At 43.8% G+C, this 18965-nt stretch overlaps 1 long non-coding RNA gene across 3 annotated transcripts in view, besides 1 other annotated feature; it reads left to right on the top strand.

The window, feature by feature from the left end:
* Positions 1-18965, top strand: part of LINC02532 (long intergenic non-protein coding RNA 2532) — a 70090-nt gene that overhangs the window by 29013 nt on the left and 22112 nt on the right. Inside the window, exons 2-4 of one of the 3 annotated variants that reach the window (NR_147986.1) lie at positions 2268-2424; positions 8741-8895; positions 11241-12183. This is a non-coding gene — a long non-coding RNA (long intergenic non-protein coding RNA 2532). Of the gene's footprint in view, positions 1-2267; positions 2425-8740; positions 8896-11240; positions 12184-18758; positions 18829-18965 lie in introns of those variants that run through there. The other 2 variants (NR_147987.1, NR_033557.2) reach the window with 2 other exon arrangements.
* Positions 9257-10182: an enhancer, noted in NCBI's record as "OCT4-NANOG hESC enhancer chr6:107196222-107197147 (GRCh37/hg19 assembly coordinates)". NCBI's record gives its function as "activates a minimal SCP1, AML or CMV promoter by ChIP-STARR-seq in naive and primed H9 embryonic stem cells {active_cell/tissue: H9 hESC(naive and primed)}" and the evidence as "EXISTENCE:reporter gene assay evidence [ECO:0000049][PMID:30033119]".

The raw sequence follows: 18965 nt of genomic DNA, 5'->3' as shown, positions 1-18965 counted from the left end.
CATATAAAACTACATGCTACTGCTCTTTTTATTTTTATATTTATTTATTTATTATTTTTTGCCACTCAGCTGAGTGAAAACTGTCATCTTGTTTTAATTTGAAACTCCTGGCCGGGTGTGGTGGCTCACGTCTGTAATCCCAGCACTTTGGGAGGCCAAGGTGGGCGGATCACATGAGATCAGGAGTTAAGAGACCAGCTTGACCAACACGGGGAAATCCCATCTCAACTAGCTGGGCGTAGTGGTGCACGCCTGTAGTCCCAGCTACTTGAGAGGTTGAGGCGGGAGAATCACTTGAAGCTGGGAGGCAGAGGCTTCAGTGAGCCGAGATCGCGCCACTGCACTCTATCCAGCCTGGACAACAGAGCGAGACTTGTAAAAGAAAGAGAGAGAGAGAGAGAGACCGAGAGAGAAAGAAAGAAAGAAAAGAAACTCCTTCCGTAGGAGCTAGAATTACACCTTTTTTTCTATAAGACTTTTCGCTATTTGTATTTCTTCTGGACCTAATCATCATGTTCTCCGCACAAAACATTTGAGTGGTTGGCCTTCTATGGCCAACCATAACCATTTTACAGGCAGTTTTACACAGTTGTGGGTATTACCCTTTATCTGTTGTTCTGCTGCTTGATCTTTGCAACACAGAACTGTTAGATTTCTGTGTAATCACATCTGTCACATTTTCCTTTAAGTCTTCCTGTCGTGTTTGGGAAGAGCTTTTCTACTTCCCATCCTGGTTTTATTCTTATTTTATTAGAATTGGGCTATACATATTAGTTTGTAAGTTGCTTCAAATTCTTTTTGAAAGAAGCAAGGGATACATAGATCCTATAAATAAATAAAAATGCTTGTGAGACATGAGAAATCATTTTTATTTATTCATAACCATCACATTTCTTGAAAAATATAATTCTTGCTGTGCTGTATATATTTTCAAGTGATGCTGGAAGGAGTATTACATTATAACCTTAAAGGATTATGAACACCAAAGGGAAAGGTGCTGTTTAAACACATTGCTAATAATATGTTTACACATTTTGAAACTGCTCAAATTACATTCACGTGGATCAGCAGCATGACTTGTATGACTTGTGTTGGCTTCCTCTGAGAAGGACGGAGAGTGAGAGGAGTTCAGATTATTATTGCCTGAGAAGTTGGTTAGGCAAGGAAGTCATTTACCTTGCTGTGGACAGAATAAAGAACTCACCATCCAGCAATTTATAGTTGATCACAGTTGTGTTGCCTAGTGGTGGGGTGCAAAAGGATGCAACGTATTTGGTTAAAAGACAAGCACAAATATCAGAGTATTTAGTAAGATCCAAAATTTAAGTTGATTTAGCATTCACAACAAAAATGAAGTCATTTGGAAAAAACAAAAATGAACAAAGAAATAAAAATGGAGATTTAGTCCACATGTCGTGGGTTGATGTTTCCTTGAAAAGAGTGGTCAGAATTTTTGAGCCTAAAGCAACCACGTATTAAAGTAATTTAACTAATGTAGACATGTTATCCGCTTACCACAAAGAAAATAAATTATAGCGGGCTCTAGACTGATGGCTAAAAAGCCAATTCTCCTAAAATGGAAGGATATTGATGGTGCTCACATTATGTAATCGGTACAGTATGTCAGTCCTAGTGGTCTGGCTAACCAAGGAAGGCTCTGGTTTCAAATGAAAGCACATTTAGTAAAATTCGGTATAATTTTTTCCTAGAACTACTTTGCTCAATTATGGCAAGATAGATTCTACTAATCACAGGCTGCAGAGACTTGGAGATTGAGCATGGTTTTTTGGATTGAAATACTTTTTATTTTGTGTTTGGTCTTCTGCAGTGCCTTAGGGGAGATGTGTCAGAGAGACTAACGTGGTTTCTTTCTTCTTTTATTTAAGAATTTAAGTGATCATGGAACTGGAACAAACTTCAGTGCCCATTTAGTCAATTGCCTTCATTTTATAGAAGAGGAAATTGAAGAATAAAGGTTGTGATTTTCCTAAGGTCATGTAATGAGTTCATGACAAAGCCTGGATTATACTTAGGTCTTCTGATAACCAGACCAGTTTTCTTTCCTTTGTAGAAAAATGCATGCTCCAGAAGTCCAGGCTGACCCAATACCGGGTAACTCAGACATTTTCATAATTTTTCTAGATATAAAGCTATGTTGAGTTATTTCCATTGAACAATGGAAATACTCTTCCGGGTAAATAATGGATCCAAAAACTAGATGTCTGAACCATGTGGTTAAGGTTTTTGCTATTTTTTTTCTTTTCTAGAGTAGACTTTGAGTCTTTGCTTCAGATGCAGATCAAGATGTGGCAACCTGTTGTGGAGAACTGGGTCCCTTGAGCCTGTGCTGTCTCTTTTTTTCTGGTGGCTTTGTCATTTGGAACAATGCATAATGGGCTGGAGGCTGAGAAACTCTGAGCTGAGGTAGGAGTGCCACCTAAGAGTGGGAAAGGTTGCCTAAATGCTGAATGGAGCACTTTAAAAGTTAGAATTTGCTATTTTCTTTTCTCTTATCTTTTTTTTTTTTTTTTTTTTGAGAGATGGAGTCTTGCTTTGTTGCCCAGGCTGCAGTGCAGTGGCACCATCATGGCTCACCGCAGCCTTGGCCTCGTGGGCTCAAGCTATTCTATTTCAGCCTCCCAAGTAGCTGGGAATACAGGTATGTGCCACCACCCTTGGCTATTTTTTTTTCTTTTTTTCGTTCTTGTTGCCCAGGCTGGAGTGCAATGGTGCGATCTCGGCTCACTGCAACCTCTGCCTCCCGGGTTCAAGTGATTCTCCTGCCTTAGCCTCCCAAGTAGCTGGGATTACAGACATGCGCCACCATGCCTGGCTAATTTTTTTTTTTTTTTTTTTTTTTTTTTTTTAGTAGAGACAGGGGTTTCTCCATGTTCGTCAGGCTGGTCTTGAACTCCTGACCTCAGGTGATCTGCCAGCCTCGGCCTCCCAAAGTGCTGGGATTACAGGTGTGAGCTACCGCGCCCAGCCTACCCTTGGCTATTTTTAAAGTTTTTTGTAGAGATGAGGTTTCACTATGTTGCCTGGGCTGGTCTTGAATTCCTGGCCCCAAGTGATCCTCCTGCCTCAGCCTCCCAAAGTGCTGAGATCATGGGTATTTTGATTTATGTATTTTGAAACCCATAATTTTTGTCCTCAAGTCTCAGACGTTTGCTTAGGCCTTTAGAAGCTCACACCTGAAAAAGAGTGCCATACCTGGGCTGTGATCTTCACCCCGTTCCACAGTCTCCACCTCCCACCACCTCCACCCAGGATCCCCTCACACAGGTTGTACCACACTGCAAGGGGATCCTAGAGTGATTCAGATATGCCAAAAATGACAAATTGAGAAATTTTGTGTGACCAGGTGTGGTGGCTCACACCTGTAATCCCAGCACTTTGAGAGGCCGAAGCAGGTGGGTCACAAGGTCAGGAGATTAAGACCATCCTGGCCAACATGGTGAAACCCCGTCTCTGCTAAAAAGATACAAAAATTAGCCGGGCGTGGTGGCACGTGCCTGTAGTCCCAGCTACTCGGGAGGCTGAGGCAAGAGAATCACTTGAACCCAGGAGGCAGAGAGGTTGCAGGGAGCCGAGATCGTGCCACTGCACTCCAGCCTGGGCGTGACAGAGTGAGACTCCATCTAAAAAAAATTTTAAAAAAAAGAAGAAATTTTGTGTCACGCAGTGTCATCTTATTCAAGTCCATTTGAGAAGCGGTGAGCAAATTGGCTAGGCCTTTATTGTTGATGTCAAATTCTCTTTCCTTGCTCACCCTATAGGTCCAGGCCAGTTTCCTTTCATCCTCCCAAAGCTATTAACACGATAGTGTGAATTTGATGCTGTTGAAGGCAGGCCTGTAGTGAACATGTGGCATTTCTTTGGCTACTCAACATCCATTCCTCCTTCCTGATGGCATCTCATTTCTTTTGGGGAATTACTTATTCCCATGGATGCAGCCTTAATGGGGTATAAATCCAGGCACCTGCTCCCCACCATGGAAGATTGTGAAGTGGCCAGATTCTGCTTCCTCCAGCCCTGAGGGTGGGCATGCGGCCTAAGCTCAACCAAATCTGATAAACACTTCTGGATCTTTGAACCTCGAACAGGTGACACAAGGATGACAGGAACAGTTATCAGGGAAGCACACTGATCGACTGAGCTGCCTGCTCCTGGCCTTCTGGATCCTCCTCAGTTCCTGCTTATCTCTAGGCCAGGCTCTCAACTCTGTCAATTCTGTGGGTACACAAATATCCTTTCATACGTTCCCACTTGATCATGCTATCAGGTTGGAGCAAAAGTAATTTCGAGTTTTGCCATTAGAAGGAATGGCATTACTTCTAATGGCAAAACCCACAATTACTTTTGCACCAACCTAATAGCTCAAGCTAGTCTCTATTACTGGCAACCAAGCATCCTGGTCTGAGCTCCCTTTCTGACTGGATCATCAGACATGGGCCTGCAGTATTGTCTTAACACCCTACTGGGAGTATTATCCTAGAATTAGCCTAAATTAGCCCTTTTCTCCACTGGTGACACCCTCCCACCACCCCCAGAATTGGCTTTCTTTTAGTTGGTACTGATACAAGATAAAACATATTTCTCTAGCTTTCTAGCCCCACAGTTTCTCGTTATTAAGATGAAACAAAACAAAAACTCATCAGAATTCTACTTCCACATCTGTCATGGATAGGAGGCCTCTATTCTCCTGCCGATGAGCCCCAGCTCAGGAATTTACCTCTCGTAGCAAAAGTACTGCAAAATTTTCTCTGCCAGAATAGCTAAAATTGAAAAGACTGACCCAATGTGGAGTGACTGCAACTGTCACGCATTTGCTGGTGGGAATGCAAAAGGATATAATCACTTTGAAAATCTATTTGGTGGTTTTTAAAAAAGTTATGTACATGTCTACTCTATGAAACAAGAATCCCACCGCTAGGTATAGTCCAAGAAAAATTAGTGCATATGTTCACAAAACCTTGTACAAGAATGTTCCAACAGATTTATTCAAAATAGGAAACAGCTTTTTGCAAAACTGGAAATAACTCAAGTGTTTATCAACAGAAAAATGGATTAAGACATTGTAGTAAATACATACCATGGAATACTAAGCAATAATAGAGAAGGACAGATGACTGATATGTGCAACAACATGCATGAATCTCAAAAATATTATATTGAGTCAAAAAGTCTGGGCTCCACATGGCTCCATTTACATGAAGCTCAAGAATAGGCAAAACTATTCTAGGGTAACAGAAGTCAGAAAAGTGGTTATTTTTGGAGTAATATTGACCAGAAAGAGATGCAGGGGCACTGGAAATATATTTAATCTAGGTGGTAGTTACATGAGTATATACATATGTAAAATGTATTAAGCTGTACATTTAAGATTTGTAGACTATTGTATGTATGTTTTAGTTAAATGAAGAAGATTAAAAAATGGAAAAATGACTATATGAACATCAGCAGTTCTATAATTTCAATGTATTTTGTTAATTCTCCACCCAGTCAAATTAGATTTATACTCCAACCCCATTGGGAAGGTTTGAAACCTTCGGCACTTTCCCCTCCATTCTTCGTTTGCATAGAGGCATTAGGAAGCAAATCTTTTCCCTTCTGGGAGTGCTTTTATGTTCAAAGGAAGACCATCAGGAAAAAGTAATGATTAACACAAAGGAATGACTAGGTTAATGGTAGGCTTTCAGGCACCAGTAGAGGAGGTATTTTGGGTCAAGGGAAGGGCAAGAGAATCTTCTGGAGTATGCCACACTAAATGGATAGAAATGAGTAGTAAGCTCTTAGTAGGCGCTGGATCCACTGGTACAACCAACAGCCTTTGCTGTTTCACTCCTGTGATGGAAAAATCAACCTACTTGTTTCCAACGGACAGGAGGAAGGGTTTGTCTTCTGGGACCAGTATTTCCCCTTAAAGCTGGCAGTGAGGATGAGAGAATTACCTGGGGCACAGCAAGCAGCTTTCCCCACCCCTCCCCACTACCCCCCCGCCACCCCGTGTTCAGTATCAGAGCAGAGAGTAGGAAAAGGAGAGGTGAGCTCAGGAAACACTGACGTAGGGTGCAAGTGGAAAAGTACAGGAGAAAAGGAATACAGGGAAGCACCCGAGGGGGAGCAGGCAGGAGACACAGCAGAGGGATGGAGAGTCCAGCGGAAAGCACCATGAAAACAGACAGAGGTTAGGGTTACCTAATAGAGATTTGAATGAATTACACCATCACCCTATGACTCTCATCAAGGACCCTGGTGCTGACAGAGAAAGTCTTCTCTTTTATTGTCCAAATCCTGGCCACCCTTCAAGACCCATTTCAAATACCACCTCAGGCTCAGGAATAAGGATTTCTGGTATTTTGGCGGCATCCCTGGTTTGTAGGGATGAGGAAGAATTTGGTACCAGAAGTTGACAGACCTTGGCCTGAGTGGGTGCGAGTGGTCCAAGGTCCAGTCTTCAGGGCCCACAGCAATCTGTCCCCCTGCTGGGGCATAGAGGCAGGCAGTTCCAGCAGCAAACAGTAGCTGAAACAGTATGAAAGCTTTTGTCAGGGTGGTTCTGGGCGACCACTCCTTTAGAGCAGGAACCTGCCTAGGGGTATGAAACTAGGTTCAGGTGCCTGAGGTAAGATGCAGACAAGAGAAAGGCAGGGTGTCAGGGCCCCAGCCTGGGTCAGGAATGTGAGTCAGATCCCAGTCACGCAGGCCAAGTCAATCCACCAGTCATGGCTGAGGGAAGGCAGGAATTCTGTGGGTCTCCAGGTGTTAGAGGCCCAGTGGATGATGCTGCATCCATGAACTATCAAAAAACGCTTGATTCAGCCTGACCAGCTGCTAGATTGGCAAGGCTAAAGTCATTCTGGCCAGAGCTCAAGAACTAGGTGTGGCTTAGCTTGAGGGCAAATGGTGCTGTGAGCTGCAGCTGCTCCTGGTTGGGGAGGCAGGGGCTGGACCTCCTCCTGCCCTCCCCATGATACGTGTTGGCACCTCTCCTCACTTAGTCTACATGCTTTTACTGTAAACCACCTCCGCAGCACGAAGCACAGGGCCAGGCACACGCAGGAAATGAGAATTCAGTTGGATGGATGCAATTGCATGTAGCTCCTTGGCAGTGCAGGCCTCGGTGTGCGCTAAGCTCTGTAACCCAGCCCTTTCCCATCGTACTGATAGCACTGATCAGGACCCCTTTTCCTCTGTGTGCAGTAGAAGGTAGAAACAGCCACTCTCCATTCTTGCTGGGAGGTAGCCTGGGACCAGTAAAGAAATGGAGGACAGTACTTTATAATCCACATGTACCTTCCCCTGCCATCTTAGCGTCTATTCCTTCTGTCTTTTTGCCCCCAACATCAGCGGAAAAACTTAATCTGGTTGCCATGGAGACCAGCCACCGACTCTAGAGTGCCTGTTTATTAAAGATGAAAGTAATATATGCCTGGTTAATCTGAGCAGCTGTCAGAGAGAGATTCGGCTATTAGTAAATGAAGGCACTAATTTTGAGGCATGATCACTCATTTAAGAGAGAGAGAGACAGGCTCTGCTCCATCTTCTGAGTGGAGCTGGGTAGTGGGGATAAGATCTGCCCTAGGCAAGCATTTCTTGTTCAGGTTTTTATGTTTATTTTATGATGATTATGGTAACTGTACTTCTTTTTCCCCTTATTTCCTACTGAAAATATATAGCCTTTCAGTAGTGTGATAGATTAATTAGGCTTTGTGGGCAGGCCCAGGAAACCCAAGCCCTCCTATGACGTCGTTTCCTTTGGAAAATGCATTCTGGATTCCAAGCCACCTACTTACAAATGAGGTTGTCTGTTTATTCATTCAACAGTCTCCACCAGGTGTGTGAGAGGAAAAGAGGTGGTGCTGAGCCACACGGAGGACTTGATGTGTTTTCTGTGTGCTTAGACAGGTGGGGGAGAAGCCGTCACCTTCCAAGGGAGTCCATCAGTTAGCTGGGAATGGTGATGACTTGTGTGATCTTTAAAAAATCAGTCCATTTGTTTTTACTTTTTGTTCTTTTCATTTGTTCAATAGTAAAATCTGAGAGAAAATGTGAATTCTGAGATTCATTATATTGATTCACCAAGTACTTTCTAAATTCAGCTAAGTAGCCTGCGTTAATCCCTGCTGGGTTATGAAGGAGAGCACACTCCTTCCCCGCACTGCAGTGCGTTGGGACGAGCAAACCACCTGGGAGTGGTGCAGGGAGGCTGCTGGCAGCTGGCCCTCAAGTGCAGAAACAAGGTTCCAGTCCCAGTGATCTCGTCATAGTCCAGCCAAGTCTCTCACCCTTTCTGACCTCAGTTTCCTCAACTGAAAATGAAGGAAAGAGCAAGCTAATCTTTTCCAATTCAAAATATTCTTTTGTTCTTGAAGGAGACTGTCAGTGCAGAAAGGGCTCCTAACCTGGAACAGCTGGGCAAGGGTTAACCCTGGTATAGGTTACCGTTAAGCAAGTACATCCTGTGCCTCTGGTCAAAGATGTCTCAGGCCAAAGCAGGTACTTGTCTCTAGTTAGTCTCTCTGCATCAGCACCAGGCCTTCACCCTAGTCCATGAGAAGGAAGACATATGCAGCTAAGGAATAGGAAGTGGATATTGTCAGTGCCTTCAAGACATGATGCATCCAGAACCCGGATCAGCCAGGAGCTGCAGAAAAGAAGCTTCAGGGCAGCAGGCCTCAGAACTGCTGCTAGCCAGTCCCCTGAAGCATTTGTTTCTCACCCTCTTCGTGCCTAGGGCAAGTAGAGCTGCAGCTGTCTGGCGCCACTGTAATGCTGTCTCCTCCTCTGAGTGAGTTCATCCTGGAAACATTTTCTCCCATAAGACATGCACAGGTCTTACGTTTACATGTTTCACTGAAAGAAATTTGATTCCACTGCTGGGATGACAAGGTAGGTCATAAATGAACACTTTTTAAGCACATCTTTAAAAAAATAATTTATTCCAATTGTACAAAACAATAGGGGAAAGGAAATAATATTGATTTGTTTATCCATTCATTGGTTTAACAATTACCTATTGTAGGCACTTACTATGAGCCAGGGATGGTTCTAAGTATAAACCTGCCCTGGAGGATCACATATTAATTTTTCTTACAACCAGCTTTATTGAGGTATACTTGCTATACAATAAAATTCACTCATTTTAAGTGTAAAGTTTGATGCATTTTGACAAATGCACGGGGTAGTATAACCACTACTAGGATCAAGATAGAGAATATTTACATCACCCTGAAAAGATTGCTTGCACTGCTTGTAGTCAATCTCCTACCCTCCCCCCAGCTACTGGCAACCACTGATCTGCTTTCTGTCACTATAGTTTTGCCTTTTCTAACATGTCATATAAGAAGCATATATTTTAGCAGTGAATACAACCAAATGAGTAAATAGACATTTGCATTCCCAAGTGAGGCAAGAGCTTTGAAATGGGACATACAGGCTGTGCTATGGAAGCATGTAAGCTAAGTTGGAAAGAGGCTTCTAAGCTGAGATCTGAAGGGGCAGTAGCAGTTTTCTAGGCGAAGAGTGAGAGTAAAGAGTGTTCCATGCTGTGAGGCTACTATATGCAAAGGCCAAGAGGAGACAGACCGCAAGGCAGATTCATCTGGGACCTACAAGTTTTCACAGCTCAAGGATGGAGTAGGAGAGGGTAGGAGTGGTTAGTCAAGACTTTGAAGAGATAAACCAGTTCAAACAAAGAAGTTCTTTCTAAGCATTGTTTGACCTTTATTCCCAGTAGGGAGCTATGGAAGGATCTTCAGCAGAAAACTGATGGGTTCAGATTTGCATTTTAGAAGGATCACTCTCTTGCATGTAGGGAACAGATGGAGGGCAAGGCAGGAGGTAGGGCCCCCCATTAAGAGGCTGGTGCAGTGATCCAGATGAGAGATGCTCAGAGCCGCCACCAGGGGAGGGCAGGCAGTGAAAATGAAGAGAAGTGGATAAATATTTGAGAAATGTAGGAAGCAGCAGTAACAGGAATTAGTAACTAACTGGATAGCGGAGAGGATGCGAGAGAAAGGCCTCACGGAGGATTCTTTGGTTTCTAGCTTGGACACCTGGGTGGAAGATGGTGGCATCAATAAGATAGCAACTTCAGTGGAGCAGGGTTGGAGGGGTAGGGAGAAGAGACAATAGGTTCTGTTTTAGACATGTTGAATTTGGGGGTGTCTAAGAAAATGATGTCCAGCAGACAGTTGGGTGTTCAGGTCTCAGGAAAGAGCTCTCCACGGAGCTTATTCTTTTCTAGTCTCTGTAAACAAGCTTCCAGGCTCTTTCATAAAATTTCCTTGCAAAAAAATCAAAGGATTTGTCCTGTCAAGTGGAATGTTTTTCATATGAAGGGGATTGGCTTCTTGTGTAGTTTAGTCTAGAGAGATTTGTTTCCATGCTACAAACCTTTGAAAAACCGGGAAAAAAGTAGTGATGTCCAACTTTAGTGACATCTCCTCTTCTTCCTCAATACAATCAATCCATTGACATAATAATGTTGAATATCTTGCAGATGAGGAAAGAAAAATGGAGTCAAATGAGCACACCGAGGCCAACCAGATCTGAGCTTTCTAATCTTAAATTGCCTGGGGGTGTGGATGTTATGTGTCTACTGACATGGACAGATTGTGTATGGTTGCCTTTATAAAATGAAGCCCATAGAAATGTTTCAGTAAATACAGTCCTCCAAGTGAACTAAATGTCAAAGGAAAATCTTTTCCTTGCCATCCTCCTTTTCTCTTTTAAACGGAAAGATCCTAAAGAAGCTGTATTAGTGCCCTCAAGAGAAACAGAAGCAATAGGATATATAGATCTATATATTGGATCCTATATCTAGGAATAGGATATATAGATGTATATATCCTATATATAGATCTGTCCTATTGATCTATAGATCTATATAGATATATATCTTATATCAATATATAGGATATATAGAGAGGTACACACATAGGCCTGATGTATATACATAGGTCTGATGTCTGAGGCCAGAAGATAGATGCCCCAGCTCAAGAAGGGAGCACATTCACCCTTACTCTGCCTTTTGACGCTACTTGGGTTCTCCATGGATTAGATGGTGCTCACCCACATTGGTGAGGGCAGGTGTTCTTTATGCAGCTACCCTCATGACACACCCAGAAATAATGTTTTACCAGCTGTCTGGGCAAGCCCTTGGCCCAGTCAAATTGACACATAAAGGTAGCCATCATAGAAACTCATTTCAATGTTGTTTTGTTTTATTACAGGAAGACTGAAGAAACCTAATCCTAGGTGCTGCCACTGGGACAAACAAGAAGCACCAGACACAGTGCTGTTTTAGGGTGGGGCAGAATTATGCTGAGGGAAAAGTTATTATCACTCTTTAAGGCCAAGGAAACCACAATTTTTAAAGAAGCTTCTAGAAATTCTACCCAGTAGAAAATAAAGATAAACTTCTGTAAGGAATTTCATTCTTTTCAGAATTCGCAATCTGAAATGTAGAAGCCCATTCCTTCATGGTTCTCATAGATATTTAGTGTGACTGAGGGGTCAGTGGACTCATAGCACTCAGGCCAGGCTTCTCCTGAGTCCCTTTCTTTGGCACAGAGGGAGTGATTCACAGATCCTCTACCCCCAAAGGCATTGTTTCCTCATCTCAACAAGAATCCAGCACCCGTCATTTTATCAGCACACGTCACTAGCTTCTCAAGTGAGACTACTCTGAAGTGATCTGTGTTTGAAGAATGCCTTTCCCTTTCCCTTACGTAACTAAGAGGATGAAAAAGGACACTCACTCCCTATATGAAAGCTGTGTATTGTAAGCAGTCATCTTGCCTGGCTGAGAACTCTAGGATCTTTTTCTCTGCTCTCCTTTAGGCTGACACTCATAGCCAGACCTTCTGTTTATTAGCCCCCTGAATCTATTTGAAAATATTTTTGCTTTCATTATAATATAAGTCACATTCTTCTTGCATCTGCCGCTGCATTTTCCAAAAGGGTTATGTCAAGGGAAATTCAACACTCACTTTTCTCATTATTTGCTTACCAGCTTGCTCACTCATCAAAATACCAGAGTTATTTGATACTTCAGAAGATTATTTCCCCCTTTAGATGATGTGTCAAGGGAAGGGGAGCTGGCCCCAGTATCAGGTGACAGAATTTTCTTCGCATTTCTACTGTTGACTCAATAAATGCCCTTGGGCAAGTCATGGAGCCTCTTCATACTTTGGTCTCTAGGGATAAAATCTGCCAACCGCAGCATGTGTATTTGAACCTCAGTGTCCTCTGGAATAAAAATAGGAGGGGACCAGGTGTCCATGTGACCCCAAGCTGATGGGAAGAGGATGACCATAGGACTTCAAAATGTCCTTGAGCTGTAAATTCTGTAATAGGGTCAGGCCCACCAGTGGCCTTCAGGCATTTGTCCAGTGGTGTATGGATAAGTTCTAGCACTTGAGTTTTTTCAGCACAAAGGAGGCACTATGTCAACCTCCCACCCATGGGTATTCTGTTTGCTCTGTGTCCCCGCTTCTCTGCATTTCCCTGCCATATTACTCACCACTGGTCGTAATTACTTGCTTGATCACTTGTCTCCTGGTCTGTAAGCTGTTTGAGGGAGGGGAGCACATCTGCCCTATGCAACACTGTACCCTCAGTGTGGTACACAGGAGCACATGCCTGACATATGGAAGTTATGTGAGAAACATTTGTGAAGTGGACAAATTAATAATGCTGCCTGGACTCTATAGAAATCCCTTTTCTGCATCATTAAGGTTCCCAAGCCTGGCCAAGAAGTAGTGGGATCTGATTAGCCTCATCTCCTCATAACCCTACTTCCTATAATATTATAATGAAAGCAGATCTCAGCCCAAATGCTGGCACACATACATATTTATCAGTAAGAAGATCCAAAATCGTTCATGCAGCTGGTTCTGTAAGCTTGGCAAATTTCCAGCCCTCTGAACTTTTCAGTGCTTTGTCCACACTCTACATGAAAGGGCCTCTTAAGAGTGACAGGGCAGTATTCTAAAGACCAGATTTTAATTGCACCAGGTAACTGAATTGTCTGAATTCACAGCTGAACACAGGACAAGGTCAGAATCATATTTCTTATGCCATTTAGAAAGGTGACAAGTGAAGGGCTGGCCAAAATCTTACACCCAGCTTACGTAAGAGTAGAGACTGTCCCTAATGCTTTCCCCAGTCCACTTGTCTCGAACACCATTAGGTTCAATAGTAAAAGCCCATTTCTCACTTGCTTCATGTTAATTGACTGATCACTAATTTTACCAATAAGAAGCCATTTTTATTATTTATCATTATGATTTTTATCATTTTGTTAATTAGCCAAGCTTCTGCTGTTGACTCCAGATAAAGAGAGTTAAAGCACTTGGGGTGACCACCTAAGTAGATTTTTTCATGGTGAACAAATGGAAGCAACAGAAACAGCTCAGACTTTTGAAAAGTGATGAAAAAGGCCCATGATGCCCTGCTCCTTGAAAATGAAGAAGAGGATGACTTAGCCCTGCAGGGCTCTTTTCTTTGCATGTTCTTACCAACCCTCAGGGGAGATTCAGTCTACTAGCTGGCTTCCCCACGTGGACCTCACTCTGTGGCAAGTAACTGGGAGTAATTTACCTTCTGGGTTCTCTTACAACCCCCTTAGCTATGTAGGTGATTTCAGGCCCAAGGGGGAAGATATCAGATAAGCCAGAACATTTTGATTCTACTGACCGAGTTTCCTCACCTCCCTCCCTTTGTTTCTGATAAATACATACGTTAAGGTCAGCTGAAGAGTTGTCTGTGATAATTGCCCTGAATCCTCACTCACTCCTCTGAATTTCTGTCTTCTGTAGCCTCTTAGCCATGTTGCAGGTGAAGGTCTCAAGTCATTTGCACCACTAGGAATCGTTTGTGTTATTGTGACTGATATATGTCCTCAGAGTTGTATCAGTGTTGTCCCCTACACACACATGCACATACATGCACCACACAATATGCACGTTCTATAAGACAGAGCCTCTATTTTTGGTGTCTGCTTAGCCCTCCAGTTTCCCATTGGGATTAGTTGTTTTCTCCAAGCTTCAGACAACTTGGAGATCCTGCCTAACTTTGGTTGCTCTTCCTTGTCAGACTGGAACTTACCCTCAGTATGGTACAACCAATCACTGGCTCTCAGGGAACTCATCACCCTGAACTATGCCTGACAGGACAGGAGCACCATCATCTCGGACAAACACTGCCACTTTAAGTTCCAGCTCCCTTTCTAGCCTCAGGCATTTCAAGAAAATCACTTGTCTTCTCATTACAAGCAGTCAGAAAGAGCAGACAGTAAAATACAGATAAGACGGGCACAGAGGGAAGTGGGAGGAAAGTCTCTTGGGTAACTGCCAAACTTCACCCTCATACAATGGGCCCCAGTAAAACAGTGGGCCTTAATAAGCACATTCCTTTCCTTTCAGGTGCACTAAGATAGGAAGGCTAAAGGCAGATTGGGGGGATATGCCTGCAGCTACAGAAAGATGTATGGGAACAGACACACAACTCTCCCTCCCAAATAAGCACAACAGAGAGACACAGAAGCAGTCCAAGCCTCTGATAAACTCTCCCACCCTGAATCTTTAAAAACTCTTAGTCTGCAAGAGAGTGTGGCTTCTGACCTAACTCGATCAGAAGTCCCTCCCAGGTTTAAAATAAACCTGTTAACTGTTGAGCCACCCTTCGTGTTTCTCTCCTCTTTCTTTAATTCTTACAATGCCTTCCTGATGGCTGACTGCCAGGAAACCCCTTGGATACAATAGCCTGAAGCTGCTTACTCCCCTGGGTGTTGCCCTCCTGGCTACCCATGGAAGAGCAAGCCCTGTTGACAAGAGCTTCCCCCAGCTCTAATCCTACCTGGTTATGGTTTATTTTCTTTCCCCACCATCTGGGCAGTTATGTTGGCCCAAGGAATTTGACTCAGTATTATCATAGCATAGAGCTAATTTTATATGTATTTATTTCCATGGTAAACAAGTTATTCCCATTGTCTGTCATTCCCACTAAGCCTGCTAGGGACAGCCCAAAGGAGCAGCTCTAAGTGAGGATACTTTGCCCTGTATGACCCCGTCCCTAGAGCAGATTGGTTCATGGTTGACACCTAACAAAAAGACAGCCAATCGATAGGTTGGTCAGCAACTTTTCTCATAACCTGACGCATACATAAAAGCTGGGTTAAACGCCATTTCTACCTTGGAAATTTAACCAAAGAAAGGTCAAGAAAAAGCGAAAAGACTTGGGAGGATGCTTTGAAATGAAAAGATAAGAATTGGAGCTACAGTAGGTTGTAAGAAGCCCCGGTTGCAAAATATTGAAACTATGAGCAAGCTGTAGTGATGGTGGAGAGAAGAGTTTCAGGCCAAGGGAAAGAAGCAGCTCAGAGGAGACTGAGCTAGGCCAGTGGACATGGCCCCCTAACTCCTGCCACAGAGCCCTGGAGTCTCCTGGAGCCAGAGTGGCTCCTCAGTCCCAGGGCAGTGAGGCCTATCCCTTCCAATGCCTCTTCCTTCCTTCTGTGGAAGACCAACTCCATTGATGTTCCATGTTTATCTCCCTCCTGAGCTAACCTAGCTGAGTCTGCTCCTTACAATCAAGAAAACCCACCCACTTTACTGGATTCTCTCTGTGTGCAGCGATGGTGGCATATATCTTTGTAGCTTTTTGCCTCTAATATAATGCATTATAAGGGTAAGTGATGAGTTCTCAGTAAATGAATGTTGAATAAACGAATTTTTGAAAGCGCAAAGGAACAGACAAGTTCATACACTTACTGTTATGTTGTAAAGTCTTCAGTTTGGCTTTCTCAAAGTTGAACAAAAGATGGCTACATTCCTAGCGTCCCCCCAAGCCTTTTCCTAGTCCATGAGTTTAGAGATGGACTGCAAATTTTAAACAATACAAATCTAGAATCAGATTCAAAATCTCCTTCAAGAGGACAAACACTCTACTCCTATTCTCAATCCAGTTTTTTGAACTGATCAGCCCACACACGCACGCACACACACACACACACTCAAAATTATTTTAATATATGGACAGTCCTCAGTGTTTTTGTTTGTTTGTTTGTTTGTTTTTTGAGATGGAGTCTCACTCTGTCGCCCAGGCTGGAGTGCAGTGGCGCAATCTCGGCTCACTGCGAGCTCTCCCTCCCGGGTTCACGCCACTCTCCTGCCTCAGCTGGGACTACAGGTGCCCGCCACCACGCCCAGCTAATTTTTTTGTATTTTTAGTACAGACGGGGTTTCACCGTGTCAGCCTGGATGGTTTGGGTCTCCTGACCTCGTGATCCGCCCACCTCAGCCTCCCAAAGTGCTGGGATTACAGGCGTGAGCCACCGCACCTGGCCATCTTCAGTGTTTTTAATACCTGAGTTTGTGGTTCTAATTGTCTGATTGAGCTAAAAATTAACAAGAACTGGTTTGAGAACATCTTCCTGCTTGGAAGTTATTTCACCAATTCATTCTTTTATAACACTGTAAAAAAGTAACTTATTACAAGGTAGTAGTAACCTTTTCTTCCAAAGAAATATAAAAAATCAATTTGGTTATGAAGAGAACTTTTGAACTTGGAGTTACTGAAAATTATTTACCATCAGAGGAATATGTACTGGTCCTAAGAACAATGATAAAAGCCACAGTCCCTACTCTGGCAGCTGCTGGGCTGGTGGCAGAAGTTGTCTCATCTGCTTTTCCCCACCATTCTGGGAGCACTAGTAGCTTTGACTATACACAGCTATCAGAAGAGGGAGAGTTCAGCCTAGACCAGGGGTTGGTCCACAAACCTTTATGGCAAAGGGCCGAACAGTAAATATTTTAGGTTTTGTGGGCCCCATAGTCTCCACTGCAAGTACTCCACTGTGCTATGGTCACACAAAAGCAGTCATAGACAATATGTGAAGGAATGAGTATGACTATGTTCCAATAAAAGTTTACAGGTGCAGAAATTTGAATTTTATATAATTTTCATGTGTCCCAAACTATTATTCTTCTTTTCAGCCATTTAAAAACATAAAAACCATCCTTGCATTGTGAGCTGTATCAAATCAGAGGATGAGAACATGGACGCAGGTTTGGGGTCCCTGCTTCCTACCCTAGCTGAGTGCTGGGGGAACAGGCTGTAGAATAGATGCCTCAGGTCAACATGGGGGGCTCCCAGGGTGGAAAGACTAGGGTCTCCCTTCCCAAGGTGAGTTCTGGAGTGACTGTGAGCCCTAGTGAAGCTTCATGTCCCCCATGGTACCAGAGCAGCAGAGCAACGGTGGCCAAGGGGCCTGGACAGAATACCCTGGAGCCAGCTTTGTGACAGGCCCCTACAAATGATAAGGACAAAGAGTCAAAGTTCCTGAGCCTCCATTTCAAAGGAGAGAAGAAGATGATGATGGCTGGCCAGCAAATTCAGAGAAGACTGGGTTGGAAGGCGAGATCTGCCTGGACTCTACAACCAGAGGCCATTACAAGATGGTGTCCCCTTGGCCAATACAGCAGGGGAAACAGCTGATGCCCAAAGACCGCATGGTTTGGAGGAGGCTCTCCTCAGAGAAGAAGTGGCCTGCCTCCACTCCTCTGGGTTCCCTAGAGCTGGTGAGGGGTAGGAGAGGGGGTCTCATTGTCTGTTTGTGCTAGAGGTACAGGGAGGGTTGTACACAGAAAACACTCCAAACTCCTCCAATGCCAGAACTAAAATGGAGTGCATCTTAGAAGCAGTATCTACCTTTCATTAGAGAACATTTTAGTCCATAAACAAGGGATATTTAAAAGCCACACAAGGCTGGGTGCTATGGCTCACGCCTGTAATCCCAATGCTTTGGGAGGTCCAGGAGTTTAAGACCAGCCTGGGCAACGTAGCAAGACCCCATCTCTTAAAATAAAAGCCACACCCATCTCTTCCCACTGGACCAGGGGTCTTCCCAGACCAGCTGCAGGATGCCTGACCTCCCGAGGGGCTGCACATTCTGTTTGAGTCAGGGCATCTCCAGGCAACAGCAGGAAACCCAGCCAGCCTCTGTGCTCTGGACACTTCTTGTGTGGCAATGACTTTACTCTGGAGAGAGGTGGCCACACTGAAGTGCTCCCCCTTCTGTAGGTCAGCTTCCACGAACTAGAAGAGCTCTGTGAGTAGGGCTGTGGTCTCAGGAGGATTATTCCAGAATCCCCTCAAAGTATTTGTTTAAGTTTAGAAACAGTGAGGCCTGGAAATGATAAAATTGTCCACATTTGTCTGCCATTAATTCACTTTTATGAGAAGCAAAGCCTTTGGTTTCTTTAAGCCTCAATTTCTTTCTTTCTTTTTTTTTTTAATTTATTTTTTTGAGACAGAGTCTCGCTCTGTCACCCAGGCTGGAGTGCAGTGGCACAATCTCAGCTCACTGCAATTTCCGCCTCCTGGGTTCAAGCCATTTTCTTGCCTCAGCCTCCCAAAGTTCTGGGATCACAAGTGTGAGCCACTGTGCCCGGCCTATGCCTCAATTTCTTCCTGCCTTACTATAGGTACATCATATTTATTTAATTCCCTAAGTCCCTCCTCAACAGATTTTATTCTACTACTGAAATCCAGTCTGCAGAAACTAAAAGTTGTATAGTGGATATGAAATTTATATAACCACCATAGTTCAGTATCTCAGGGGTAAAAATAAAATGTGACTATTTATTTCCACAAAACTGAACCTATCAATTCAAGATAACTTTTGCTTTAAAACTCACGACTCCTTGAATCAATAGTCAATTTCTGGATCTTTCTCCTCCTCCTAGGTCCTCTTCTCCCTGAAGGCTGTCACAGTTCCTGTGCAGAGAGAGAGGGCACTGCAGCACCCAGGCGCTGGTGAGAGGGAGTTTCTGGCTCACACTATTCTCTGCCTTCCATTGGCATTGACTCAGCTGAAACTTGGCACATCTTGTCCTCTTAGTCATGCGCTGGCATCTACCACTTGTGCCCAAATCCACCATGGCCTCACGTCA

This window comes from Homo sapiens, chromosome 6 (genome assembly GCF_000001405.40).
Source record: "Homo sapiens chromosome 6, GRCh38.p14 Primary Assembly".
In the NCBI taxonomy this organism is placed as follows: Eukaryota; Metazoa; Chordata; class Mammalia; order Primates; family Hominidae; genus Homo; species Homo sapiens.
Note: the sequence above shows the minus strand (reverse complement) of the source record. Positions and strands in the feature narration are given on the sequence as shown.